Source organism: Homo sapiens, chromosome 10 (genome assembly GCF_000001405.40).
Source record: "Homo sapiens chromosome 10, GRCh38.p14 Primary Assembly".
NCBI lineage: Eukaryota > Metazoa > Chordata > Mammalia > Primates > Hominidae > Homo > Homo sapiens.
The window spans coordinates 116,367,156-116,384,187 of record NC_000010.11 but is presented as its reverse complement, the minus strand read 5'-3'; the positions used below and the strand labels follow the sequence as shown (position 1 = coordinate 116,384,187).

The 17,032-nt window shown below is 33.8% G+C and overlaps 1 protein-coding gene across 4 annotated transcripts in view; it reads right to left on the bottom strand.

Annotated features, from left to right (window-relative positions):
- Positions 1-4,158: 4,158 nt before the first annotated feature.
- CCDC172 (coiled-coil domain containing 172) overlaps positions 4,159-17,032 on the bottom strand; it is a 55,582-nt gene continuing 42,708 nt past the window's right edge. For all 4 annotated transcript variants that reach the window (NM_198515.3, XM_006717820.5, XM_017016206.1 and 1 more), the window contains 2 exons: positions 5,678-5,765; positions 4,159-4,865 (listed from right to left, as the gene is read on the bottom strand). In NM_198515.3, the coding sequence (NP_940917.1) occupies positions 4,830-4,865; positions 5,678-5,765 (124 nt within the window). In that variant the 3' untranslated portion in view covers positions 4,159-4,829. The remainder of the gene's footprint in view (positions 4,866-5,677; positions 5,766-17,032) is intronic.

Sequence of the window (17,032 nt, the reverse complement as noted above, 5' to 3'; positions counted from 1 at the left end):
GCCTTGTTTGGAATAGCTACTTATATCAGACATTGTTATTAATTTCACATATTCACCTATTCTTTATTTTCCCAGACATCTGAATTCTGGTGCTGTTTATTTCATAGAGGCCTTTTAAAGACAAATTCACTCTGTATCAAAAGCTGTTTAAATCAGCATTCAATTCTGACAGCTTTGCTCTTGATACTTTTCATAGCAGCAGCTGGGAGACCACTTTACCATCAGTCATGGCTTTTTTTTCCTCCAGTCAAAGTATATGTTCTACGGTAAGCATTGCCCTGCAAAATTTTTTCCTCATGTTTAATAAATGTGACCTTACGTATAATTAACAACAAACAGATAAAATCCTGTTTCTCCCTTTTAAAGCAGGGGAAAGTTATTACTTGATTTCCCTCGTGTAGTAGTCAATGCTGTCTTGATATTAGTCTTTTGCCAAGTGTCAGTAAAATAACAAATAAAGCTTCTTTACTGCTGTGATGATTTGACCATTAGCAAACCAAGAAAAAACTTACTTAACTTGAAAATATAATGTTTAGAAAGCACAAATGCAACTGATTATACATTCCGACCTCAAATATTTTCAAAAGATAACTTCATCCTTTCCATTCTTACATTTTAAAAAAATCTATTGTCTTAAGATAAAAGAGCCACAAAACCCCAAGATGTAATCCCTGCTTCGGGCTAATGACGAAAAATATTTTTTATTTTTAGTTCACATCCTGAAAAAAATTCCCTTGACAGAAAATGTTCTGAACTAGATTCTGAGAGGCAAACATTTTCTTTACTAAAGTTTTTCTGGATGACAAAAGGAGAGAAGAGGGGTCAAAAAAGAAACATAAAAGTTCACCTAAAATAGATCAGCTTCAAATGTTAAAATACTTTTTAGTACATTAAGCAGCTTTTAAATTTCAAATTTTATACTATAAATACTTGAATCACAGAACACCTTACCCTGATACACCCGGCATTAAGATAGTCTCATATTTATTTCTAATCATGTCACTGAACTGCTACTGTTTCCTAGGCTGCAAATAAATGATTTATTCATTATAGTGTGACACAGTTATGTATGATTGATTGGTATAAAATATAAAGGGACTTTGTCCTCCACAGGAGCTTTGAACAGGGCCTGTCCAGTGCATGCTGTCTGTCCATCTGCAGCTACCCAGCTAAATTACTGCTTGCCCTTCTGGTAATGGACTCAGTGGATTTTTTCACAGCATAATTTCCATCCTACAAAAAATTACTAATCCCAATTGACTCTGTTTTAAGGCATTTCTAGATTCCAATTCATTATAATACAATGACCTCTACCTTACCTTAGCCTTTTCAGAATCTCATCATGGTTTTTCAAGTTCCAAGAAAAAAAAAGCAGGCAGGCAATTTTTTGTTTGTTTCTTTTAAAAAACAAACCACTACTATTGACAAAACAATGATAGAATAGAAATCATTCTGATTGTAGATACCTTAAAGCTTTTCTTTACTTTTCCTCCCATTTCAATAATTAGGCCAGGGAAGGAAGAAAGGAATTTCTAGGCCAGTGGTCATGCTCCACATCCTATGATTTTGTCGCTGTTTTTCCCCCAGTGTAATAGCTCCATTAATCAGCAGAGAATTTCGCAGCAAACTGTCTCTACATTTTAATATTATCCTCAGTGGAGTACTGAGAGTTAGAAAGTTGCTTCTCAAAGAACTTGAGTTACATTAAAGAACTATGGTGGCAAGCCACAAACCTCAGAGCAGTATCAGTGTTACTTTGGGTTAGTTTGCGTTTTGATCATAACTAAGTATACGGAAAATTTAATGAATTTACTTAATGAATGGACATTCGTTTAAAAATTGCCTTTCTGTATAGCCAAAGTCTTACTTCCAGAGTAACTGAATTCAGTCTGAGACATATTTTTACCCAGATAAGTTCAGTTAATTTTCCTACTTATGAGTTTTATGACTTACTAATTCTTAAAAAAAACCCTAAAAACAGACTTAATCTACTCCTAATATTTTATCTTGATGTGCAGTTTAGTTTCACACACTGTGATTTCTATTGATTGCTGTATTTCCTTTGTTTCAGATAACTTGTTCCTTTAATTACATTGATTCTAATCGTTCAGTTATTTTGATTGGTATCACATGGATACCGCTTTCTATTACTCTATCATGCAGTGCTAAAATAATTATTTGATTATATGAAAATGAGTTTAAATCTTAAATTATGCATTTTAAGCATTTTAAAATAATAAAAGTACCGAACCTTCAGTTTTATTCTCAAATTCAATTCATTTGAATACTGATTCTGTTACTGAATATTTAATCTAGATATTCTATATGACACACATGTGAAAGAACGGTTGTATCGGTAGCAGTTTATTCTGCATATATGCCATTGTGTTAGTAATTCAAATAGGTGGCTGATCTCTAGTTCACATTAATATTTTAGCTACAAAACCAATAATGAGCAAAAATTACTGGTAAGTGAAAGAAGCTTTACGTGTAAATTCTGCATACTAAATATATATAGCAAAAGAGATTCACAGGACTCTCCAGGGTAGACAAATAGACTAAAATAAGACAGAACTGAGGTCATGACAAATCCCAATAACCATTTCCCGCTCTGTATTTGCATATAAAATATATTGCAATTCTCTGCCACCATTCATTTTTTTCTTCCTAAGCAAAAATAATTGATTACTAATTTAAATATTTAAAAAATAAAATTAGAAATTACTTTTGAAAATTGCAAATTATTTAAACACATGGCAATTGCTATATATCCTGAAGGAGAGTGTTTCAACTTTGCTAATTTCTGAAAAATAAGGGTGTTAACATATACAAAAAAACTATGTCTAAATAAGACTTGCTCTGAAATAAGACTTGCTTAGGCTCTGCTCTGAGATTTAGATAAACCTAAGTACTCTACCTTAACATTAATAGATAAATGAATTCAACTACAACCACAAAAGAAAGCATGGTTCTAACATTAGCCCTCATTATTTTGAAATATATCCCCAAGTAAGTTTTCTTCCTAACCTGCTCCAATCTAGGGCCTTGTTGAATTGTTGCAATAAACTTTTATTTTTATTTTATTTGTGATTTGTTTTTAATTTCCATAGGTTATTGGGGAACAGGTGGTGTTTGGTTACATGAGTAAGTTCTTTAGTGGTGGTTTGTGAGATTTTGGTGCACTCATCACCTGAGCAGTATACACTGCACCCAATTCGTAGTCTTTTATCCCTCACCCCCTTCCTACCCTTTCCCCCTGAGTCCCCAAAGTCCATTGTGTCACTCTTATGCCTTTGCATCCTCATAGCTTAGCTTCCACTTACGAATGAGAGCATACAATGTTTGGTTTTCCATTCCTGAGTTACTTCACTTAGGATACTATTCTCCAATCTCATCCAGGTCACTGTGAATGGCATTAATTCATTCCTTTTTAGGCTGAGTAGTATTCCATCGTATATATATTTCACAGTTTCTTTATGCACTCGTTGACTGATGGGCATTTGGGCTGGTTCCACATTTTTGCAACTGCGAATTGTGCTGCTATAAACATTCATGTGCAAGTATCTTTTTCATATAATGACTTCAGGAGTAGCTATTCTTATATCAGTCAATACACTTTCAGACAATAGACTTTCTGTCTAGTCAGAAATGGTAACGGCAGAAAGATAAGTGATATTGGAAATTTGGTAGCAATACTAAGTATGATCCGATCCTAACTACACTGTTTTCAGTTGCAGTAGTTCAGGTCACCAGAGAAAATGAATCCTGATGGCTGTTAAGGAGATTATGTACCTCATAATCCACTGGGGATTCATATCCCCGTGGATAATTTGTTTCATTATAACCAACACTGGCATTAACCAGAAAATGGCTTCAGGTGCCCCAGACTTCATGGAAACACAGTGAAAAGTAGGAAAACTTTTACAGATGAAGGTCCTCAGAGGAACTCTGTCAACAGACATTTTATGATTAGAGAATAATTAAAATGAAAGCAAGCACCTTTGTTAGTGGAAGTGGCACCAACAAAACTGGGCCAATAAACTGAATGTTTCTTCCTATGTGTGTTTCATTGGACCCAAGGTAAACTACAACAAAAAATGAAAAGTATAGTGTATCAGTCCATTCTCGCATTGCTATGAAGAAATACATGAGACTGGGTAATTTACAAAGAACACAAGTTTAATTGTCCCACGGTTCTGCAGGCTGTACAGGAAGCATAGTGACTTCTGCTTCTAGGGAGGCCTCAGGAAGTTTCCAATCATGACTGAAGGCAAAGGGGGAGTGAGACATCTCATACGGTGGCAGCAGGAGCAAAGTGGAGAAGTGCTATACACTAGTAAACAACTAGCTCTCAGGAGAACTCAAGGACAGTACCAAGAAGAATGGTGCTAAGCTATTCATGAGAAACCCACCCCCATGACCCAATCACCTCCTATCAGGACCCACCTCCAACAGTGGGGATCACAATTCAACATGAGATTTGGGCATGGACACAGATCCAAACCATATTATATAGATTAGAAAGAATAGGACAGCTTGAGGTTCAGGGGCATATAAGAAGCCTGGGAACACGGTATCTACTTCTTCTCCTTTTCCTTCTTTTAGAAACAAAATCAAACCACAGAAGAACTCTTAAAGTTTGAGTAACAAGACAAAAATTATCTTAAAGGGCTAACACATCATTTCTAGATAATAACAATTTGAATATTTTAAACCCCATATTTCCCACAAGGATCCGTTGTAACGGGTACCATTCATATATCTATCACAAAGATTTGATTCTCAGATATTCTGATCAAATCTCAGATGGCTGATCAATTCTCTGTAAGTTATTTGCTTTCCTGAAGATCTTTCTGTGCCAATGTCTGAAAAGAAAACATAGTAATTACTCATGAGGAAAAGTAAATTCTTAATAAAATAATTACATAAAATGTACCTAAATTTAATGACAATAAATTCTGGGCATTTCTTAATTATATTTTTTATAAAAAAAAATAAATTCAAAGGTAACTTATTGAAACATTTTTTGAACAAGAAAATGTTTACCTAAAATATGTAACAACATGCAATGTATCAAATTAAAACTACATTTTAAGATAGTTTAAAGCTATTCATGTCTTTCACTAAAATGTAGTATGGCAAATACTGTGTTCATTTTATAAACAACCAAAGTAAGAGGTTAAAGCAATTTAAAGTGCTCCTACACAATCTGAAAATACATTTCCAACAATTGAATTCAAGGTTTTTGAGATTATACAAATACGCAATAAGAAAGTTTTAGGATCAAATATAATAAAAGTATAATTTATGCCTATCAAAAACAAAAAGCTTTTAAGGCATTATGATAGTTAAATTTCCTTCAGTGCAGTAATCCTCTAATAACAGTTTCAGTCAAGGAAATGTTATGAGGTCAGATCTAAAGTTGCTTTTTTTTAACTTACTTTGAAATCATACATATTCTCTTTGAATATAATTTGCTTCATGTAGCACCTAACTCTCTAGGAACTCAAAACACTTCATAGATTTACATCCTGATCCTAGTTATCTTCATTATTGCTTTTCTGTTTTTTGCAGAGGGATTAAACACTAGTTCAGTGATTTGTACACCAGTAAAACCGTTCCTTACCAGTAGGTAAAATAATGCTGAACAAAAGTTAAACAATCAATGATAACTTACCAACTCCAAAAATTCTATTTCTGTTTGGAGAGCTTCATAAACACTTTCCATGTCATCTTCCTTATAAAGTTCTAATTCTTTTTTAAGTCTATTTTAAAAGAAAATTTCACCTGTTAGTTTAATAATAAACTGTAATTGTATTACTGCACAGAGAGGGACAAGTTTGTAGCTTCTATAATCAGAATTTCAAGTTAAGACTAAATAATTGGCATATTTTAATTATCTATAATTCCATAAAGACTATATAAAATTTTGCGGTAAAACTTTTCATAAAGAAATTAAGGTAGACTGACTAGTAGACATTTAATATTTTTGTTGTTGTTGTTTTTTGAGATGGAGTCTCGCTCTGTCATCCAGGCTGGAGTACAGTGGTGTGATCTCGGCTCACTGCAACCTCTGCTTCCTGGGTTCAAGCGATTCTCCTGCCTCAGCCTCCCAAGTAGCTGGGATTACAGGCGGCTGCCACCACACTCAGCTAATTTTTGTGTTTTTAGTAGAGATGGGGTTTCGCCATGTTGGCTAGGCTGGTCTTAAACTCCTGACATCAAGTGATTCACCTGCCTGAACCTCCCAAAGTGCTGGGATTACAGGTGTTAGCCACCACGCCCAGCTGACATTTAATAATTTTATCATAACTAAAAGAGCAACATGAGCTGGTGGATAAAAAATATATAGTACTATGTCTTAACATCTCTGTTTTAGTCCTGGCCACCAGCAAACTGAATAAGCTTAGTTAAAACATTTAGCTTCTCTGAACCTCACCTGAAAACTTTTAAGTATAGAAAAAAAAATGACCCTTGAGCTCTCTTCTTGATCTAAAAGTAAACTATAACTTTATAATATACACACATAATTAAAATATATCTTAATTTGGGAGTGAGAAAGCAACATCTTTCTTTTCCCCAATTAAGTTTCTTTTCCCCAATTAAGTCTTTAAGTTTTTGAATATTTTGAATTTTTTAACATGAAAAAGCACATACATTTTATTAACGTGCATTGGGAATCACAAAAAAATAGGTTGGTTAGAACTGAAGCGGTTACATTCAGGTTTATTACCCTCTTAATGAAGGAAAGGGGGTTTGGAGTTGTTAAAGTTTATGAGAGACTGTCATTTGAAATGATCAAACCAAAATAGAGTTTCTGGAGCTAGGTGCCATGTAATCTATCTTGAAAATGGGCCAGTTTCCCAAAAAATAGGAGATTCATAGCAACCAATCAAAGGGGCCTTGAACCAACATAAGGCAGTCTCCTCTGAATTATGACTATAAGAAATTAATTTTGAAATGATTCTAGAAAAATCCAATTAAATGTTTATACTGATTTTTTTATTATACTTTAAGTTTTAGGGTACATGTGCACAACGTGCAGGTTTGTTACATATGTATACATGTGCCATGTTGGTGTGCTGCACCCAATAACTCATCTTTTAACATTAGGTATATCTCCTAATGCTATCCCTCCCCTCTCCCCCTACCCCATACTGAATTTTTTTGTATTTTCGGTTTTTCTTTTTTATGAGACTTTAAGGAACTAGACTATATGGAAGTATATGGGTGTAGTAATGGAAGATAAGGGCTATTTTCATTAAAATCTATTTATGCATACTCATCTTGGTATTGGCTCTGTCTTCAATGATAACAGTACCTCCTCTCTCCCTGGAATTAGTGTGTCACCCTTCTCATGCCTTACTTTTAAGCAGATAAAGCCTAAAAGGGTAGAGAATTCTTCCTGTAACTATTGAGTATCAATTGCCAAGATAATCCTTAAGACAATGTGGTATAATTTCAGGGTGGTATATTCTGGTCCCTTTAAAGCAAGGTCAGATAGGCAATAGAAAGAATAACCTTAAACAAAGAGCCAACAATTGTACTAATATCATACAAGTTTGATGATTATAAATGTGCTCTGGAAATTTATTGCCAAATCAGCACAGACTTTGAGGAATTTTTTAAAAATTATTTTATACCTGTATTTAATGTGGAAAATAGTAAAAGTAAGTTTTCCATTTCTGGCATTATGACTAACATTTTTTTCTGAAAAGAAAAACATAAACAAAAGCTAGGAGCTGTGGCTGAAGAGGTAGAAGGCTAGAGCCTGGAATTGGGCAGCTAGGAGGTTAAAGCTGCCCTGAGGGGAGATATGAGGAACAACATTGCTCTCCCAAACCTAAGCAACTCCTGGGCCAGCAACAAAGTGAGAAGTGTAGATCAATTTGAACTTTTGTTGAGCCCTGACCCTCAAGGGAAGCTGAAGGAGTTGTAAGATCAGTGGCATTTCCTGGATGCCAGCAGATGCAAAAGAAAATCTTCTCTATGGCTGCATAGTATTCCATGGTGTATATGTGCCACATTTTCTTTATCCAAATGCCCATCATTGATGGACACTGTGGATGGTTCCAAGTCTTTGCTATTGTGAACAGTGCTACAATAAACATATGTGTGCATGTGTCTTTAGAGCAGAATGATTTATAATCCTTTGGGTATATACCCAGTAATGGGATTGCTGAGTCAAATGGTATTTCTAGTTCTAGATCTTTAAGGAATCGCCATACTGTCTTCCACAATGGTTGAACTAATTTACACTCCCACTAACAGTGTACAAGTGTTCCTATTTCTCCACATCCTCTCCAGCATCTGTTTCCTGACTTTTTAATGATCACCATTCTAACTGGTGTGAGATGGTATTTCATTGTGGTTTTGATTTGCATTTCTCTAATGACCAGTGATAATGAGCTTTTTTAAATATCTGTTGGCTGCATAAATGTCTTCTTTTGAGAAGTGTCTGTTCATATCCTTGGCCCACTTTTTGATGGGGCTGTTTGTTTTTTTCTTGTAAATTTAAGTTCTTTGTAGATTCTGCATATTAGACCTTTGTCAGATGGGATGAGTTCATGTTCTTTGCAGGGACATGGATGAAGCTGGAAACCATGATTTTCAGCAAACTAATACAAGAACAGAAAACCAAACACCGCATGTTCTCACTCATAAGTGGGAACTGAACAATGAGAACATGTGGACACAGGGAGGGGAACATCACATACTGGGGCCTGTCGGGGGGTGGGGGGCTAGGGGAGGGATAGCATTAGGAGAAATACCTAATGTAGATGATGGGTTGATGGGTGCAGCAAACCACCATGGCATGTGTATACCTATGTAACAAATCTGCATGTTCTGCACATGTACCCCAGAACTTAAAGTATAATAATAATAATAAAAAGAAAATATTCTCTAAAGGAAACCTGAAAAAATTTAGACCCACAGCCCTCTCATAGATTGAGAACAATGAGTTTGCAGCAAAAATTCATGAAGCACCCAACAAGGAAAGCCATTATAAAGTAAAAGCAGAGACAGGAAGCAATAGCTTACACCCAGGCTATTCACAAAACTACAGACTATTCACAAAATAAAATGTCCAATGGCTAATAAAAATAGGAAATGGTATTAAATTTCATTCTGAATCAGGGAAATACAAAGAAAAGCATAAGGAAATACCATTAAACATTCACCAGAATAACTAAAATGAAAGATAGGCAGTACCAGGTGTTGATAAGGATATAAAGAAACTAGAACTTCCAGACCGCTAGTACAGGATATTGCTTTCCATTCTTTTTTTTTTTTTAACGTATCTACATCTTTATATTTAAAGTGAGTTTCTTGTGGAAACCATATATTTGTGTCTTACTCTTTTATCTAATGTAATAATCTGTCTTTTACTTGGCATATTTAGACCATTTTCATTTAATATAGTTATTCATATGGCTGAATTAAAAATATAAGATTTTTCTAATAATTTTCTATTTGTTCTATATGTGCTTTGCCCTTTTCTTTCCCTCTCTTTCTACCTGCTTTTGGACTTTTTAAATAATTACATTTTATCTCCTCTATTGACTTATTACTTATACTTACTATAGTCCCCCTTTATCCATGGGGGCTACATGATCCAATACTCTCAGTGGACAACTGAAACTGCAGACAGTACTGAACTCTCTATATGCTATGATTTTTCCTATATATATATATACCTATGATAAAGTTTAATTTATAAATTAGGCACAGAAAGATATTATCAATAATACCTAATAATAAAATAGAACAATTATGACAATATACTGTACTAAAAGTTATATGAATGTGGTCTCTCTCTCAAGATATCTTATTGCACTGTAGATCTTAGGAACCTCAGCACACAATTTTTTTCCTTTCCTTCTTAAGTCAGAAACTTTCATCTTTTCACTTACGGGAAGCACTTTACACCTTCTTTTTGGCATATATGAATTGCCAGCATCACTACTCATGTGACTTGGGCTCATCATTAAGTGCAATACGGGTTACCACAAAGACTGTGATAGCATAACAGTCGATATGATAACTCAGATGGCTACGAAATGACTAGCAGGCAGGTAGCATATACAGTGCAGGTACACTGGACAAAGGGATGATTTATGTCCAGGGAAGAATGGAGCAGAACTGCCCAGGAGTTTATCATGCTACTCAGAATGGTGTGCAATTTAGAATTGTTTATTTATGAATTTTTTCATTTAATGTTTTGGAATCATGGGTGAATGTGGGTAACTGGAACTGCAGAAAGAAACTGCAAATAAGGGGGACTACTGTATTTTTTTAAAGTTGTAATGCTTGCATATGGGTTAATACATGACTTCAATTTATTACTGTGTACTCTCAAATAATATAACACTGCTTTACTTGGCCAGACCACAGTGGCTCATGCCTGTAATCCCAGCACTTTGGGAAGCCAAGGTGGGCAGATCACTTGAAGCCAGGAGTTCAAGACCGACCTGGCCAACATGGGGAAACCCCGTCTCTAGTAAAAATACAAAAATTAGCCAGGTGTGGTGGCACACGCCTGTAATCCCAGCTACTTGGGTGGCTGAGGCATGAGAACAGCTTGAACCCCAGAGACGGAGGTTACAGTGAGCCAAGATTGTGCCACTGCACTCCAGTCTGGGCAACAAAGAGAGACTGTGTCTCAAAAAAATAAAAATAAAATAACACTTGCTACACTTATAGGATAAGAAACTTAAAACAGTTTATTTCCAATTTCTCCCTCCCATTTTTTGTTCGGTCATCATCATATATTTTTGTTTTTACATATGCTATAAACCTAAAATATATTCCTACTTTTTTGCTTTTGTCACTTATTTGTTACATTAATTAAAAGTGAAAAAGGGGCCTTTATGTTTAACTTCATTTTCATTTCTAATTTTATATTTATCTTCATTATCTTTCATTTATTTATTTATTTTTAATTAGAGATGGGGTCTCTCTATGTTGTCCAGGGTAGTCTCAAACTCCAGGGCTTGAACTCCTAGACTCAAGCTATCTGCCCACTTCAGCCTCTCAAAGTACTGGGATTATAGGTATGAGCCACCATGACTGGCCCATTTGAACCATTTCTGGAGTTTTATTATTTCTTTGCATAGCTCCAAATTTCTATCTGGTATAGTCCTTCTTTCTGAAAAACTTATACAGCCCTTTTCTGTAATGTAGTCCGTTTGCAAGAAATTCAATCAACTTGAGTTTGTCTAAAAATATCTGTATTTGCCTCCATTTGTGAAAGGGATTTTCACTGACAATTCTGAGCTGGCAGCTGTTACTTTCATTCTTTAGGATGTCATTCCCTTGTCTTCTGGTTTGCATGATTTCTGATGAGAAGTCTTCTATAGTTATTATCTTCATTCCTTTGTATATAATGTCTTTGTGTCTTTTCTCTTTCTGCCTTCCTTCCTGAGTTTCTCTTTATCTTTATTTTTCAGAGGTTCAAATATGATGTGTATAGATGTTTGTTTTTCTTTAATGCTGCTTGGGGCTCTCTGAGCTTCTTGTATCTGTGCTCTAAAGTATTTCATTATTTTTGTAGAATTCTCTACCATTATTACTGACAAATGAACAAATATAATCTCAAATGCACTATGGTAAATCTAAAAAGCCAGACCGAAGAGGATACATAGCATATTATTCCATTTGTACGACATATTGGAAAAAGCAAAATTAGGAAAACAGATCAGGGGCTGGGGCTGGAACGCAGGCACTGAGTATAAATAGGCAGGAGGGTACATTCTGGGATCATCAAAGTATTCTATATCTTGATTGCAGTGGTGGTTACATAACTGAATATTTTTGCCAATTCACTGTATACTAAAAGGTAAATTTTCTCTATGTAAGTTTTAAAAAAGGCAATGACAGTAGCCAAAGTTCCTACAAAATAACAATTAAATTTTTTTAATTCAAAATTTTTTAATTAAAAATGTTTAAGTTTCCAAAAGGAAAAATAATGTAAAAAAGACCTCTCAATACGAAAACCAAATAAAACTACCTATAAGTTATGTATACAAGCTAAGAAGGAAACAGAGGATTTTGCAAAACTTGAAATTACATGTAAATAGGGAAATAAACATCTAACTTCAGCTCTGAAGCCCACACCAATGCAGAAAGAGTTAAGTAACCACTCAATGGTAGATAGAAGAAAGGAAAAAGGGTGCCTAAGGGTGATGAAATACAGATTAAATGACCCTCAGAAAGTGAAAGTCTTTCCCCGTGTAGGGAAACACTGAGAGAAGGTCTGAGGCCTCACAGTTGAAAGTAATGGCTTCTGTATGGTGGAAGAAATTTGTTTAAATCAATGGCTCTCTTATCTTTTGGGGAGAGACAGTTGCAGTGTTTTGATTTAATGATGTTCTTTTTGTCTTTCCAGTGCTTTTCATTTCCATTTCTTGATTCCTTCTTGTCTTTAAATGTTATAGTCCCTGCAAATTTGTCTATTTCTCACCCAGTAACCATAGCTGAAATGAAGAAAGTTTTTGTTTTGTTTTGCTGATGAAGTTTTTTAAAAACTGTATTATGAACAAAAAGCAAAAATACTTTGAGACACCAGATAATCCAAAAACTATATAAATTGATCTAAATTATGAAGATATAAGGAAAACAGTGAATTTCTTTTCCTGAAGCAAGCATAACACTGATAGCAGACCTGATCAAGATAGTGAATACATATACACACACATACACATGTCTATGAATACTAATGCAAAAATTATAAATAAAATATTAGTAAAAAGAATCCAATACCACATTAAATAAATAATACACTAAGATCTATTAGGATTTGTTCCCGGAATTAATGTATGGTTAAATATTAGAAATTCATTAATATAATTGACCATATTAATATTTCCAAGGGAAAAATAATATGATTATCTTCAGAGGTGCTGAAAGGGTGTTTAAAATATTAAAACTTATCCCTGATTTTAAAAAAACTTTCAATAAAATCAGAATTAATACATATTATTTTTACCCAATAAAAAAAATACATATGTCAATCCCAAAGTAAGCATATTATTGCTGGGGAAACACTAGAGTCAATCTCCTTAAGGTCAGGAATAAGGATGCCCATTACCTTTATTACTTTTTAATATTAAGTTGGAAGAACTAGCCATTAAAATTAGTCTAGAGAAAATAATTAGAGGCATAATAGTTTGAGAGACAAAATAAAGTTATTTTAATTTTCAGGTAATATGACAATATAACTGAAAACTCAAAAATATCAATGAATAAAAAAATTCAAATAATAAAATAATTTAGTAAGGTGACAAGATATAAAATTAGCATACAAAAATAGCCTTCATTTTCATCAATAATAACATGACTTTTTCTTTCATAGGACATCATAAAAATGTTAATTATTTCTACATTAAATCAGATTGAATATGATCCTGATAAAAATACAAATTTTTTCCTTGATGCTAGGCAAATTGATCCTAAAGTTTATATGGAAAAAAATAAACATTCAAATAAGGCTCTTTAATCTTTTTCTTTTTAGGAAAGCCCTGAGAAAGAAAAAAAAAAAGGAGTGACTAGCCCTACCAACCACTAAATCCTACTATTTATCTTTTATAATTAAAACACTGCAGTACTGGCATATAAATAGAACAGTGGGATACAGTAGAAGACAGACAGAGTAAAGTATAAATGGAAATCTAGTAGATAATAGAGGTGACACCTCAAACCACTGGGAAAAAGAGATAGACTCTTCATTAAATTGTGTTGAGAAAACTGGATAGTCATTTGCAAATGGATATAAATGGATTGCCAAAGCTAAAGTTGGATCTATATTATACAGCATATACAAGAATACCCTCGAAATGGATCAAAGATTTAAATGTAAAAAATGAAACCGTACAAGGTCAAAGTGAAAGCATCAATAAATTATTCGATAAACTGGGTGCAAGTAAAGACTTTTAAACTATTGCTCAAAACACAAATGCAATAAAAGAAAAGAGTATTAAATTCAATTACGTTTAAAAGGTTGTGTAGCAAAAACCACCGTAAGTAAAGTTCAAAGATAAATGACAAACCATAAGAAAATATTTGCCACATATGTCACAGATAAAGGATTAATCTCCATAATATATAAATAAATTTTCTAATCAGGGACAAAAAAGACCAAAAGCCTGATAGAAAAATGGGAAAAAGTCATAGATAGGTAGTTAAAAAAACAATTTACAAATGGTTCTTCAAGGCATAAACACTCAAATTCACTCATAATGAAGAGTTGCAAATATACTACACATGAATATTGTTTCTCATCTATCACACTGGCAAAACTTCAAAAACTTGACAACAAACTCTTTTGGCAAGATTATGGGAAAAAAAAATTGTGCTCAAACATTGCTAGAGGAAATTCAAAATGGTATGACCTCGATGGAGAAGAATGGGGCAAGATCCAACAAAACTACATTTGCATTTTCCCTTTGACACTGCCACTCCATATCCAGTAAGATACTGTATAAATACAAAACAACATATACACAAGATTATTTATTGCAGCATTATTTGTAATCACAAAATACTGGAAACAATTTAAGTGTCTATTCATATGAGACTGGTTGCATAAACTGTAGTACATCTATTACAATGAAGTATTATATAGCTATAAAAATGAAGATAATCTCTTTTAACTATTACAAAATGAATTCCAGGATATATTGTTAAATAAAAAACGGAAAGATACAAAAGACTATATACAGTGTGTTAACATTTGTGAAAGAGAAAGGGATATGAGAATATATAATTAAATGTCTATTTTTGGAAAAAGAAACACAGGAAGGATGAATCAAAAACTAGCAAAAACAGTAACCTACAGCAGTGAGTGAAAATGCAGTAGGATAGAGAATGGAATGAAACACCTCTGGATGTATCTTTTTATATACTTTTACTCTTCAATTACATTGATGTTTTACTTATTTATCAAATAAAATTCCATCAATAAAGCTGAGAAAATGAGCCCTAAAGTTAGACGAAAAGAACACTTGAGTTAAACACAAATGGAAATGAATAAGCCTAACTGCATTTCAAATTTATAATCATAAGAAAAAATAAAAAAGAATTAAAGTGATTTTTGAACACAATAGTCTATTCACCCTCAGTGGGATGTGTAGTAAGGCACTAAGAATTATAGAGGAATCTTATACTTTATTTAGTAGGCTTGTTGTTAGTGGGGGTACATGGCTAGTAATTCTAAAATTATTTTGTGATATTTGTAGGATTTAGGATATTAATAATTACATTGATATAATTGAGAACCAGAGTTTTAACTAGAAAGAAGACATACATACAGAATGGAGGAAGGAGAAGAAAAACCCAGTCATTTTAGATTTGAGTTGGAGGAGATTGTGTAAATTTACCATTTAAAAATGGTAATTTTAGTTGTGTCCACTTAAAGTGCTTAGAAGCAATGACATCCAGTAGCAATGAGCACATCTAGTACTGTGGTCTGAATTTCTAAATACTATTCCCAACTCAAAGATAATAGGGCTTCTTGAAAAAAATAATTGGTTCCAGGATTGAGGGAGGTATGTAAAAGAAGAGCCTGGAACACCTTCTTGCACCAGAAAAAAAGTGGTTTTTAAAAACCCACACAGAAATCAATTTCAGAGGGATTGCCTCTGGCCAAATTTGGGAAAATTGGGGTATCAAAAATAATAATGACGGTAATGGATTATGACCCATGTAACTTTAAAAGGTGCATGAGTACGTAGAGAATTTTTTTTTAAAGGAGAAATAAAAAGGGTGGGGGAAGGAGGGGAAAAGGAAACCTCTTTTTAAAAGAACTTTACCAATTAATAAATACATAAAGAATGCCATGATTAGAAATTACCATTTTGCAGCCACCATTGTAATAACTGATTCAAGGAGGAATCATTAGTGGACAATAAATGGTTGAGAGAAGGGTTATTGGGGAAAGGATATGTACAAGGTATCAAAGGGTCATCCTATATATTACTTAGTACTACCAATGGAAAAATAGTACTTTCTCACCAGAGAAATCTGGCAGATGTAATCTTAACTAAGGGATCAAACTTAACATTACCAAAAATGAAACAAACTGACATTATGAGCCTCCTGATATAATGCTCTGAAAAAGACACACTATCACTTACATAATATTCTTGCCAAAAAAAATTAACTTGCATATAATCTCAAAGGAACAAATAAGTACAAACTGAAGAACATTCTATAAAACAACTAGCCTTGACACCTCAGAAAAAGTGTCAATTTAATGAAAGGAGAGGAATTGTTCTTGAATAAAAGAGCTTAGAAGAAAACATAATTTGTAATCCTCAATTGGTTCCTAGATATAAGAAGGAGAGAGAGAGGAGAAAGGGAAAGAAGACAAGAAAGAGACAGAAAGGAAGTGAAAAAGAAAGAAGAAAAGTAGCTATAATGAACACTATTAAGATAACAGGGGAAATATTAATATAGACTGTTAGATAATAGTACTGTACCAATGATAAATTTCCTGTTTGTTAATTTTCTAATTTTTTTTTTCTTTTTGAGACAGAGTCTCGCTCTGTCACCCAGGCTGCAAGCTCTGCCTCCTGGGTTCACACCATTCTCCTGCCTCAGCCTCCTGAGTAGCTGGGACTACAAACACCCGCCACCACGCCCAGATAAGTTTTTTGTACTTTTAGTAGAGATGGGATTTCACTGTGTTAGCCAGGATGGTCTCGATCCCCTGACCTTGTGATCCGCCCGCGTCAGCCTCCCAAACTGCTGGGATTACAGGCATAAGCCACCGCGCCTGGCCTCTAATTTTGTTAATATGACATAATAGTTGCACATATTTTTGGGATACAGTGTGATGTTTTGATACATGCATACAATGTGCAACAGTCAAATCAGGGTATTTTGTATATCCATCACCTCATACATTTATCATTACTTTATCATGAGAACATTCAAAATCCTCTCTTGTGGCTATTTTGAAATATACAATAGAATATTGTTAACCAAGAAACAAAAATGCTAACTATAAAAAATGATTAAAAATTTCAACCAC